The sequence below is a fragment of the Homo sapiens genome, chromosome 21 (genome assembly GCF_000001405.40).
Source record: "Homo sapiens chromosome 21, GRCh38.p14 Primary Assembly".
In the NCBI taxonomy this organism is placed as follows: Eukaryota; Metazoa; Chordata; class Mammalia; order Primates; family Hominidae; genus Homo; species Homo sapiens.
In genome coordinates, this window is record NC_000021.9 from 39077126 (window position 1) to 39089692 (window position 12567).

Genomic DNA, 12567 nt, shown 5'->3' on the forward strand with positions numbered 1-12567 from the left:
TGGTGCATCAAGGACTCCCAGGCTGTAGGTGACACTCTGGGATGTCATCATACCACTTAGCACCCCCATTATTCTTTTTAATTAAAATGAAATTCACATAATATAAAATTAATCATTTTAAAAGGAACAATTCAGTGGCATTCAGTATATTCACAATGTTGTGCAACCACCACCTCCATCTAGTTCCAGAACATTCCAGCACCCCAAAAGAAAGTCTCATACCCATTAAGCAGCGATTCCCCATTCTCCCTCCCCCATCTCCCACCCTGACCCTTGACAACCACTAATCTGCTTTTTGTCTCTTTGAATGCCCCTATTCTGGGCATTTTATATAAATGGAATCGTACAACATGTGACCTTTTGTATCTGCCTTCTTCGACTTAGCATAATATTTTCGAGATTCATCCAGGTTGTAACGCGTGTCAGTCCTCCATTCTTTTTTATGGCTGAATAATGGTCCAATATATGAAAAGACTACATTTTGTTTAACCATGCCTCCAATAACGGACATCTGAGTTGCTTCCACTTTTTAGCTATCGTGAATAATGCTGCTACAAACATTTGTGTGGAACTATTTCTTGAGTGCTGTTTTCAGCTCTCTTGGATATATACCCAGGAATGGAATTGCATCTTCATCATGATATCCTCTCATTTTTCCAGCCTTTATTCTGAATCTTTTTAGAGGTCAAGGAAAGCAAACTTTTCCTGTAAATAAGCAGATAGTAAATATTTTAGGCTTTGCAAGCCAGGTGGTCTCTGATGCAACTACTCAACTCTGCCTTTGTAGCATGAAGCAACCACAGACAATCCATAAAAAGTTTATTGTTCTTCAATAAAATTTATTCACAAAAACAGACAAAGGGCCAGATTTGGCCCTCAGGCCGTGGTTTGCCAACCCCAGCTCTAGGACAAGCCCAAGTGGATGCAGCCTCTTCCAAGTGCCCCGTTTCACAGGAGAGGCACCTCCTCCAACCTAGCTTTCTATTGCCAGTGAGGATGAGCAAGGGAGACGGACTTAGCCTGTGGCAGAAGAGTTGAGGAACTGCCTTTAAAACTGATTATGAAATATGTGAAATCTTGGGATGTGCTTCTGCTATGAAGAGCAGCATTGTGCTCTCTGTTGATGTTTAAGAGTTAGGCTACCATCTTTCAGGTGGTTTTTGAGAATAAAAGTTTGATGAGTACCTTGACCAATCTCTTGGTGTCCTTTCAAACATTCACCCTTTCTGAGATTTATCAGGGGAGAAAGGGTCGCTCATGCTCAAAAGCTCATTCACCCAACAAGCATTTACTGAGCCTTTACTGTGTGCAGGCACTATACTAAATCCTTGGTATTTAAAATGATGCATTCCTGGAGGTTTTCTTTGGCAAGTTGGCTTGGATACCTCTAGTAATGGGGAGCTCACTACCTACACAGGGCATCCTACCCCATGGCTGCGCAGTTCTTTGCTCCTCAGAAGTACCTAAACCTCACCAGTATGCTTACACACCTCCCTCCCACCAGTCAAATATCAACAGGCACCCCCACCATAAACAGGTACACAGAGAACAGGTGAGGAAATGAGGAAATAGCAAGCAAACAAACAAACAAAGAAACACTGACGGCAACTTTTCTTACTCCTGGTATTTCTAAAAAGCAGAACAAAATCAATTTCACACCCAAGACATCTTGAAATGTTCCCAAACTTGGGCAAAGTTGACAGCTGAATTCTAAGGAGCTGCTTCCCATTAAGAAGAGGATATTAGGAAAGAAAATTATCAGAACTCTTTGTTTAAACTATGGTCTCAGCCAGGCACAGTGACTCAGGCCTATAATCCCAGAACTTTGTGGGGCCAAAACGGGCAGATTGCTTGAGCCCAGGAGTTAAAGACCAGCCTGGGCAATGTACCGAGATCCCATCTCTACAAAAACTTAAAAACTTAGCTGGACATGATGGGGTGAACCTGTGGTACCAGCAGCTACTCAGGAGGCTAAGGAGGGAGGATCGCTTGAGCCCAGGAGGTCAAGCCTGCAGTGAGCCATGACTGCACCACTGCACTCCAGCCTGGGCAACAGAACACAGTGAGACCCTCTCTCAAAAAACAAAAACAAACAAATAACCTTGTCTCCAGAAGAGGCAAATGAGAGGCAGGACAGCACAGAGACGGAAAACTCAGGTCTTGGGGCCTGGCAGGTCTGGGTTTGAAGGCCGCTCTTTCCCCCTTTAGCTGAGGGACCTGGTGCATGTCATTTCTTAGAGGAGGCTGAGTTTCCTCAACTGTAAAACCCGGTTAGAATAGTACCAGTTTCATAGGATGGCTGTGGGATGGAATGAGACACGCCATCTGTAGTGGTCACACAGAGCCACGAGCTATTAGTAAGTCAGTTGGCCTTCCCACCTGGCCACTCTCTTGCGGCTAAACAGAAGAAGGTGCAGAAACACCACAGAGATGGCTCATAAGTGCCACGTGGGGCTATGGATTCAATTAAAAGAAAAAATAAAGTCTGGAGGAAATGGAGGCAGGCAGAGGTCAGGGACAGGAGAAAAGGCGAAAAAGCACAAGTGGGGCACCCAAATGCGGAAGCCACTAGAAGCGGCGCCCCAACCCCACCCCTGCAAGAGCCTCCAAGAAACACTTGGCTGCGTCACAGGCTTCACCCCTTCCCGCCCACACGCCTGCAAGATCCTGTTCTCAAGCTGCAGTCTTTGCAGAGTCGCAACCCACGAACAAGTTACGAAATCCATTCCAATGGCCGCAGCCGGCAATGGACAAACATGAAACTAGAACAGGTCAGAGTGCATAGCACATCTGGGGGAAATACTGTATTGTTGAACCTTTTCAGTAATACGCACATGTGTATACCTGCTTATGTCATCTACATAAGGATACAGGCGCACTTACGAAGACTAGAATCAACAATGTCAGCGTGCAGTGTGCATAGTGTATGGTAAGAGTAAGTACTGGTCGGGCGCGGCGGCTCATGCCTGTAATCCCAGCATTTTGAGAGGCCAAGGTGGGAGGATTTGATGAGAACAGGAGGTCAAGACCAGCCTGGCCAATATAGTGAGACTCTATCTCAAAACAACAAAGAAAAAGGTGGAAAAAAAGGAGTATTATTCAGATAAACCTTTCCTATTATATATATGTATACGCAATGTATATATCATACATTCACACATATACACATATGTACGTATGTATATATATATACATTCACACATATATACATATCTACATATGTATATACACACATCCACACATATATACATATGTACGTATGTATATACATATTTTGTTAAATTGTTTTTGGTTTTACACATATGTATATGCACACATGTAATAGAACATGGGCTTCTTGCTGTCAGTTACAGCCAGGGAGATTGAAGCCGCTGGCTAAAGCACCCTTCAGGAGCAGCTCTCAGGGCTCTGGGAGCCCCTGGCAGCTCTATCCTGTGGCTCCACCGTGCTGCCAGGGAGAGCGAGCAGGGCAGAGGCCAGCCAGCAATGGCTTTCCCTGTGGGGAGCAATGGGATGTTCATCTATTTCCTGAAGAGGCCAGGGCATAACATTAATTCTAAATGGAACAATTAAATTCCAATTAAAAATCAATTTTAAAATGTGAAAAAGTAATAGGTACCAACCGATGTCTCTTTGCATCCGTGAGACTTTCCTGGTCCCCTATGCCAAAGTTATAAGCAAAGCTCGCACCAGAGAAAGTTCCGATTTTTCATGAACCTGAGTCAGATTCTCTGGAACCAAAGATTAGAGTATTGATTCTTCCAGCATTCAGCACATCTGATAGCACCCAGGGGGTTATAAATGGCAACAAATCCTGTGAAACATCAGCCCAGAGAATACCGTCTTTATTTTACAACACTTACAAAGAGATCCCCTAAGGTTTATTTTAAAAATAAATAACATTATAAAAAGCAATTTTAGTCACCAGCCTGTTACAGCAAAATATCTGAGCCCCAGAATCCTAGGCAGACATCATCACCAGCCCGTGTGTGATTAGGAAAACGGGGTCTGGTGAGGGTGGCGCCCCACTCAGTTGAGAGGCTCCCCTCTCAATCCCTGTCCATTTATCCTGCTGGGAGCTCTGTGGTTTGGGTCTCTATGTCTTCCTTTTTTTGAGGTGTTCAATTTTTCCCCAAGTCAAAAGGGGTGGCATCCTTCTAAGTCACCAGCTAAGAACATCAAAAACCCCAGGGCTCCATGTCCTGCTGAAGGTCAGGGCGAGGTCTCCGCCCCTCAGCACCAGCCCTCACTCTCCTTCCCCCTCCATAAGAAGGAGGGCCAAGTGCGGTGGCTCACGTCTATAATCCCAGCACTTTGGGAGGCCAAGGCAGGCAGATCACGATGTCAAGAGATCGAGACCATCCTGGCCAACATGGTGAAACCCCATCTCTACTAAAAATAGAAAAATTAGCTGGGCATGGTGGCGCGTGCCTGTAGTCTCGGCTACTCGGGAGGCCAAGGCAGGAGAATCGCTTGAATCTGGGAGACGGAGGTTGCTGTGAGCTGAGATTGCGCCACTGCACTCCAGCCTGGTGACAGAGCAAGATCCCATCTCAGGAAAAAAAAAAAAAAAAAGAAGGAGGATGAGAAGGAGAAGGAGGAAAAGGAGGAGGAGAAGGAGAAGGAGGAGGAGAAGGAGAAGAAGGAGAAGGAGAAGAAGGAGGAAGAGAAGGAGAAGAAGGAGAAGGAGAAGAAGGAGGGGGAGAAGGAGAAGAGCACAGGTGCCAGGCAGACATTCCTGGTAGGGAAGCTCTCATTCGAGGGGTCTAATCACAGACCCCCAAAGTGTCCTGTCTGTGGACAGAATTCCAGCAGTCTGGAACTTGCATAGAGAAACTATGACTTTTTTTTCACTAATCTCTAGCTGAACATTAGCACTTCCTTCCATCGTGAATGTACACAACAAGCCACAGAAGCAAAAACAGTACCTGGTACTTGGTCACCAGTTAGAAATCACAGCTACTTTCATATGACACTACATCTGTTCCAGGAATCTCAGGATAGCGTTCATGCCCATCACTACATGGAAATGAGAGTAGTTATCAGGACTGTTGATGGATCTATGAAAAAATTAATTTTTTTTAAAGAGCACAAATTAAAAAAAAATATTTGGGTAACTATGTATCAGTGTAATTGATTTCCTTTGTAACCCAGAGTGTTTTCTTTTATACATTTAAAAGCATTCTCCTAATAAGGGGTCCATAGAGGTCATGGCACCCAAAGAGGAAGGAACCCCTACCCTCATCAAAAACTCAGCTCACGGGGCTGACACACACAGGAGACCCCTAACCAAGGCTGTGGGCCAAGTGGGTGCAGACTCCGAGAGAGGCTGCGGGGAGATGGCTGCTCCTCAGTCATCCATCAGCATCTTCACCACATTCACACTTTATAATAACTAAACTGACTCAAAGCGTTTTGTGGAGCAGAAATGGATGATGATAAATGTTTTATTCTCACATAACAGTTTACGGACGGTACGCAAGCCACTGCACTAGAACCCCACAACTGCTAGGCTGGCAAGCTGAGTATGTTGTCATTTCTTAAATAAAGAAACTGAGACGCAAAGGAATGTAATGCTTTGTTCAGAGTCATTGAACCCACCTGCCGGTGGCAGAGAAAAGCCTCACAGCTGTCTTCTGACGCCAAGTCCCGGCACCTGGCTGGGCTGCCGCTCCAGGTGCGGGCATATACTGCGCATGCGCTCTGTGCTGGCCTCCCCACCCCTCCCCCGTCCCTCCGGCCCCGCCTTCCACACCCCTGTCCAGCCCCCTGGTATGAACTTAGGTGCATGGGACACCCTGTGACGACGATCATTAGGACAAGTATGCACTTGCTTATTGGCCTGGGAGTCCCTTGGCTTCTCACAAGCTTGAAGCGCTGCGCCCCCATTGTCCCAGTGCTATGACAAGCCATGCAAAGGTAAACAATAACTAGTGGTCACAAGGCGGGACAGTCCACTTTCCCCAGAATATCTGCAAAAATGCATGCCAAAGGTAGTAAGCCATTTCCATTTTCCGACCCGCTGCTGCACTTACAGTCCTCCTGCTCCTCCAGCTGGGTCTCCCAATAAAATCCAACGCCTGGAGAGGGAAGGTTCTGGCTCCTGGCCCGTCACTGGGCTGGCCTGGATGGTGGCCTGGTGATGCCGGGGAAGCCAGCTTCATCCACGCCAGTCCTCTCATCTCCCCGTGCAGGGAGTAGAAAGGACACTTTCCTCCCATCTCCCCGTGCAGGGAGTAGAAAGGACACTTTCCTCCCATCTCCCCCGTGCAGGGAGTAGAAAGGACACTTTCCTCCCATCTCCCCGTGCAGGGAGTAGAAAGGACACTTTCCTCCCATTTTTATGGATTCAAAAACAGAGCCCACCAGTGTGTGTGCGAGCCGGGTTGGCACCTGAGTCCCCACCCCACCCCTTGGTTCAATGTAGGACAAAGAGGGCTCACGGGCTCCACGCCTGCTGCATGAGACTGAATTATCCTTCCTCTCTGTTTTACAGTCATGATTGCCCTGCAAAAGAACTTTCCGGCAAAAACAGCCCTTCGTCCTCTTCCCCCGTCTTCTGACCTCTCAAATTTCCCTCCAGTTTCTGGAACTTCTTTGAAGGGAATCTCCCTAAACTACTCGTCACAAAATTACATGGGGTGGAGCTGGAACATTTTTGTTTAGGATGCAAGATCCTGTTTAAACTGCACTCTGTTTTGCAAGCTCTGGTGTTTAGCCTCTCTATATCTCCTGGGCTTGTGGGGGTGGGGCAGGGGTGGGAGTGGCGTGACTCACTGCAGCAGGTTGCATAAACCTTATTGGTGCAAGATGAGTGAGAATTCAGGTGCACATCTTTGAATGACCACCTGCATATCATCAGCCCTTGGATAGCATCTCTACTTTCTTGGGAGATTGGAGGTAAGGATACAAAACACCACAGAGACTCACCGAGTCTCTAAGCAAAAAAGAGTCAACAGCAGCTGAATGTTGGTGGGCAGGGACACCCTGTGACGTTCAGGTGAAGTTCAGGACCCAGCCCTGTTGAGTTTGAGCAAGGTCAACATTTTCCTAACATCTTCTGGGTATTTCCACAGTTGAGAATACCAAATGATGTGGGCAGCTTGCTGGGTGCCAAGTACAACATGACGGACCCACTTACTGGGTCCATTTACTGCCAAGCCGGGCACTTACTGGGCCCACGCTAGTGGCTGTACTGCTGTGTGGCCAGACCTGGCTGTGGGAGGTGGGAGGTAATCAGGGCTTCACAAAGAGAGAACAGACATTTCCTCCACAGTGAAGGAGGAGCTGCCACTCCCACCTTCCCTCCACCTTCTGGCCAGTGTCTCTAACATGCTCAGCACAAGTGTCACCTGGGGTGCCTGCTAAAGATACAGGTTCTAATGGCTGTAATCCCAGCACTTTGGGAGGCCGAGGCAGGCGGATCACAAGGTCAGGAGATCGAGACCATCCTGGCTAACACAGTGAAACCCCGTCTCTACTAAAAATACAAAAAATTAGCCGGACACAGTGGCGGGCACCTGTAGTCCCAGCTACTCAGGAGGCTGAGGCAGGAGAATGGCGTGAACCCGGGAGGCGGAGCTTGCAGTGAGCTGAGATCACGCCACTGCACTCTAGCCTGGGCAACAGAGTGAGACTCCATCTCAAAAAAAAAAAAAAAAAAAAATACAGGTTCTAGACCCTGTCCCACAGCTACAGAAGCCAGCTTCCCACTCTGGGCAGCTGCCATTCAACAAGCACCCCCATATGCCCGTGGTTCTCGAGTACTGATGGGCATCAGAATCTCCAGACACTTGTCAAAATCCACGCCTTTACATTTACCCCAGTCTATGAATCAGCATCTCCAGAAACCAGGCCAGGTGATTCTCAGGCATCTAAAGTTTGAGATCCTACTTTGGATGAGTGATTTTCAAAGTGGAGTCCCCAGACAAGCAGCTCCTGTGTCACCTGGGAGCTTGTTAGGCACATTCTTGGGTCCCACCCCAGACCTCCTGAGTCAGAAACTCGGGATGAGGCCCCACCCTCCAGGTGAGAGCCACTGGAGTTAGACTGTGAGCTTCCCAAGGCCATGCACTTGTCCTGGTCACAGCTTAGAGTGTGGTACTTGGTGCTGAGTCAGCACGGGGGCTCTCCCTGGCTTCTAAGAGAAGTGAATGAGTTTTCCTCACCACTGACTGCCCAGGACACCCCATCTGGGCCAGAAGGAGCTGCCTGCTGTCTCCTTCTCCCAGGGGCCAGAATACAGCTCCTTAGGCACCTGTATTTGCAGGAAAGGCTGCTGTATGGGGAGAGAGCAGGCCTTGCCCTCAGTTTGGCTAACTTCTCACAGCTCCAGTTTCATCTATCTTGCTCTACCGCTGCAAAAGAATTGCCCCATGCCTTATGCATTTTGCCTCAGAGTCCCAGGAGTGCAATGTCCAATGTGGGGTGTGCTTTCTCTACTAGCTTAAAGTACAGAACAAATACCCCTCTGCTCCTATATGAACATGAACTGTTCATTCTAGTGATGGCTCTGAACAAAGCCGGGGGTCCCCTTTAAGTTGGCTTGAACATTTGCATTTCTGTTCCAGTCCTACTCATTTACAGATAACACACGGAGCCCTCCAAGCCCTTGCCACCCCTTTCCAGTCCTATTCCACTCTTCCCTCACCCTTCCCAGACCAGCTCAAGCACCCCTCATCCAGGAAACTTCCCCAGCCCTTTCCAGCTCTGGCTGATCTACCTGCTCTCCAAAGGTGAAGAAGCCGTTGCCTTCAGTGAGAATTTGGCACTTTGGGGCTCTCTTGAACCTTTGTCTTATTTCCCCAATAAAAGTGATAGTCCGATCAGGGCAGGGTCAATATTTATTGTCTTATTTTCATTCCGTCAAATTACTCAGCACCCCAGAGAGTTTTGATCATGAAGGTGCTCAGTAAGTGTTGGATGGCAGCATAGAGGTCAATCACAAAAGCAAGAAACCACACAGCCACTGCTGCAGATGAATGTCTCTGGATCTGCCCACACCCTTAGAATGGTTCCAGATCAACTGGGCGTCTGTCCAGCAGCCTAGGAGTGAGCTTTGGATCCTTTACAAAAACAAGAAGGCAGTAGCACCCCCTGAAAACCATGCCTTACAGTTAACCTGCCTCTAAGGTACAGGCCCTTCCAACCTGCTGTTTAGCAGGGAGAAGGGGGCCAGGCATGGTGGCTCATGCCTGTAATCCCGACACTTTGGGAGGCCAAGGCGGGTGGATCACTTGAGGTCAGGAATTTGAGACCAGCCTGGCCAACATGGTGAAACCCTGTCTGTACTAAAAATACAAAAATTAGCCGGGCATGGCGGTGCACACATGTAATTCCCAGCTACTCAGGAGGCTGAGGCAGGAGAATCACTTGAACCAGGGAGACAGAGGTTGCAGTGAGCCGAGATCAGGCCACTGCACTCCAGCCTGGACAACAGAGCAAGACTCCGTCTCAGAAAAAAAAAAAAAAAATAGCGGGGAGAAGGACCTTGGATTTGGCTTCAACAGACCTATGTTCAAATTAATCACTACGTATTATTAATATCAAAATAACTGTTAACCTACAGCTGACCTCAGCCACTGCCCTCTGCTGGCCCACTCTGGAGGGATCTGGCTCTGCACCCCGGATTTCTGCCCTTCCTGCACCCTCCCAGGAGGACGCTGCTCCTACCCTATGTTGGGGGGCATTTGAGTTTGGAGATCAAGGAGAACTGCGAAGAGAAGAGAAGAAGAGCTTCAGTCATGGCTGGAGGGAGGCATTGGAAAGGAGGTCAGAAGGACGCAGTCAGAGAGTGTGGGAAAATTGGAATGCCGGAAGAAGGAGAAATGAAATGAGAAGGGGTGCTGGGGATAAGTTGGATCCCCTTTAATATACTTCCAGAAGTGCAAATAAATGATGGGATTTCCTTTACATTGATCTTCAATGATCAAACTGTGCTTCTTAAACTAAACATGATTCTCAGAGACAGTCACGGCTGCAATGCGGTTACAATGATGAGAAGCCTTTCCTGGCCCTGGAGCTAACTACATCCCATGCAACTGGCCCCGACATAGGTACTGCTGTCATAATGACCTTGCAGGTGGGGACAGTCAGGCAGACAAGAGGTTGCCCTAGGCCCCACAGCTGGGCAAGGCAAAGCCCAAAATAGAGTTCATGCTGGTGCCAGGTCAGTGCTCTCAGACACTCATGTCCTGTCTCTAGGCAGGGCCAGCCCCTCCCCGTGCAGGGCTCCAGCCAGGCTCTCACCCCCTTCCTTAAAAGTGAACCGGATCCAGGACCAACAGCTTGAGACAGCACTCTGGGAAGCTGATCCCCAAGTTGACGTCTGAGGCTCAAATTCTCTCTGATTCAACCCCACGAGGAGCCAGCTGGGGTCTGAGCCGGGGCAGCAGGGACAGAGCTGCCGCCGGGGGTCTGCTGCCAGCGGGCATCGCCGAGGAGGGCGCAGCCTGCGGGCTGGATAGAAACCAGACAAAGGGCACTCCAGGCCCACCGGGCCGGCCATCCGGAGGGTCTACAGCTAATTAAGACTGAAGGGAGCACTGAATAACCCTTTTGTGGATCAAAAGCACTCTGTTGGAAACCCAGCTGACAACTCCAACAAAACTGACTTCATGGTTTCTTATGAGAAAACTGTGAATACATCGAGGACTGAAGAAGCGCTTTGTTCCAGACCTTCGTGGGACCACCAGAGATTCAGATTACAAAGCGGCCCTGCCCGGCTGCAACAAACAGCGCCTCGCTGAAGCCAAGGCTGTCTCGGTGTAGGAAAGCCAGAAATAACACATTACACTGAAGCCGGGGCATGGTGTGGCCACGACTGCTCGCTCATGTGCTTCATTTACAGAAAAGGACACACACACCCCACCACAATCCGATTAGAACCAGACAAGACTGGAAGGCTGGGCACAAATCACACTGAGCCCCTCCCCCAAGAGGGTCTCCTCTGAGCCTGTATCAGGATGGGTTCTTCGGACATTTAAAGGCAACTGAAAATACAAAGGCTCCTTTCACTTCTGCACTCCAGGCTGCTCTCGGGCATCACCCAGAACTTCAAACACGCCCCATGCCAGGATCCCAGCCCCAGGGACTGTAATGTAATTGACCTCGGTGCAGCCTGACGTCAGCATTTGTAGGAGCTACCTGGGTGTCGTGAGTTGGATGGTGCCCCCTCCCAGAAGATATGTCCACCCAGAACCTCCAAATGTGACTTGACTGGAATAAGGGTCTTTGTAGATATCATTAACCCTTTTCCCACTTGCCCAAGAATACTCCCCAGCAGCATTTACCCCAAGATAACTTTGCTGCAAAATACCTTGCTTTTATTATTATTTTCAAATCGCTCTAGTGTATTGACTTTGGAAACAAAACACATCATTCCATTTATAGCATTCTGGTTTTAGTAGTGGTATTTCCATTTACAAAACTATAGTAATTCTCGAGTGCTGAAAATGTCAAATCCTAGAAAACGTCGCATTCCTGCACGTGATGTTAACATTGTTCTTGAAAACAGTTATTGGCCAGAGATTCATTTGATGAATCCGATTCTTCCGAAACAGATGATTCTGATGATTTAGACGATTCTGATGTTAGTTCTGTGCAGAAATAACTCCAAGAACAGTTTTTGTATTTTATTTTCACATTGAAAATCCATCAGATTTGCTTCAGCCTCAAAGAGCATGTTTATGTAAAAAATGAGTACTGGCAGTGAGCTGCACTTTATTTTCTAAACGGAAAAAGGGTGAAGGTAAAGATCTCTAGATGAGATCATCCTGGATGAGGGCGGGCCCTAAATCCAATGACTCGTGTCCTCATAGGAGACAGAAAAGGAGATCCTGCAAACAAGGCCGTGTGAAGACAGAGGCAGAGACTGGAGTGATGCTGGTTCCATACAAGGAAGGCCAAGGATGGAGGTCATGAGGAACAGGAGGGAAGCCTGGAATACATGTTCCCATGCAGCTGCCAGCAGGGGCCACCCTGCCCACACCTTGACTTTGGCCTTCGGAACTGTGAGGGAGCAAATTTCTGTGTTCTAAGCCAGCGGTCCTCAACCTTTTTGGCACGAGGGACCAGTTTTGCAGGAGGCAATTTTTCCACACACGGGGGGGATGGTTTCAGGATGACTCAAGGGCATGATGCGTATTGTGCACTTTATTTCTATTATTATTACACTGTAATATGTAATGAAATCATTACACAACTCACAAGAATGAAGAATCAGTGGGAGACCTGAGCCTGTTTTCCTGCAACTAGACAGTCCCATCTGAGGGTGATGGGAGACAGTGACAGATCATCAGGCATTAGATTCTCATAAGGAGCGTACCGCCTAGATCCCTCACAATTCATAATAAGGCGCAACCTCCTATAAGAATCTAACGCCGCCACTGTTCTGACAGGAGGTGGAGCTCAGGCGGTAATGGTCACTCGCCCACACTCGCCTCTTGTCCATACTGGTCCATGGCCCGGGGTTGGGGACCCCTGTTCGAAGTCACCCAGGTTGTGGTGGTTTGTTACAGCAGGCCCAGGGAACTCATTCAGCAGGTGGATTTGGGTGGCCCTAATCTA

The 12567-nt window shown here is 48.3% G+C and overlaps 1 long non-coding RNA gene across 2 annotated transcripts in view; it reads right to left on the reverse strand.

The window, feature by feature from the left end:
* Window positions 1–7408, reverse strand: part of LINC02943 (long intergenic non-protein coding RNA 2943) — a 56010-nt gene extending 48602 nt beyond the window's left edge. Inside the window, exons 1-3 of one of the 2 annotated variants that reach the window (XR_001755055.2) lie at window positions 6036–7408; window positions 4929–5019; window positions 3624–3814 (exon numbers count right to left, since the gene is read on the reverse strand). This is a non-coding gene — a long non-coding RNA (long intergenic non-protein coding RNA 2943). The remainder of the gene's footprint in view (window positions 1–3623; window positions 3815–4928; window positions 5020–6035) is intronic. The other variant, XR_001755054.1, reaches the window with a different exon arrangement.
* Window positions 7409–12567: the final 5159 nt, after the last annotated feature.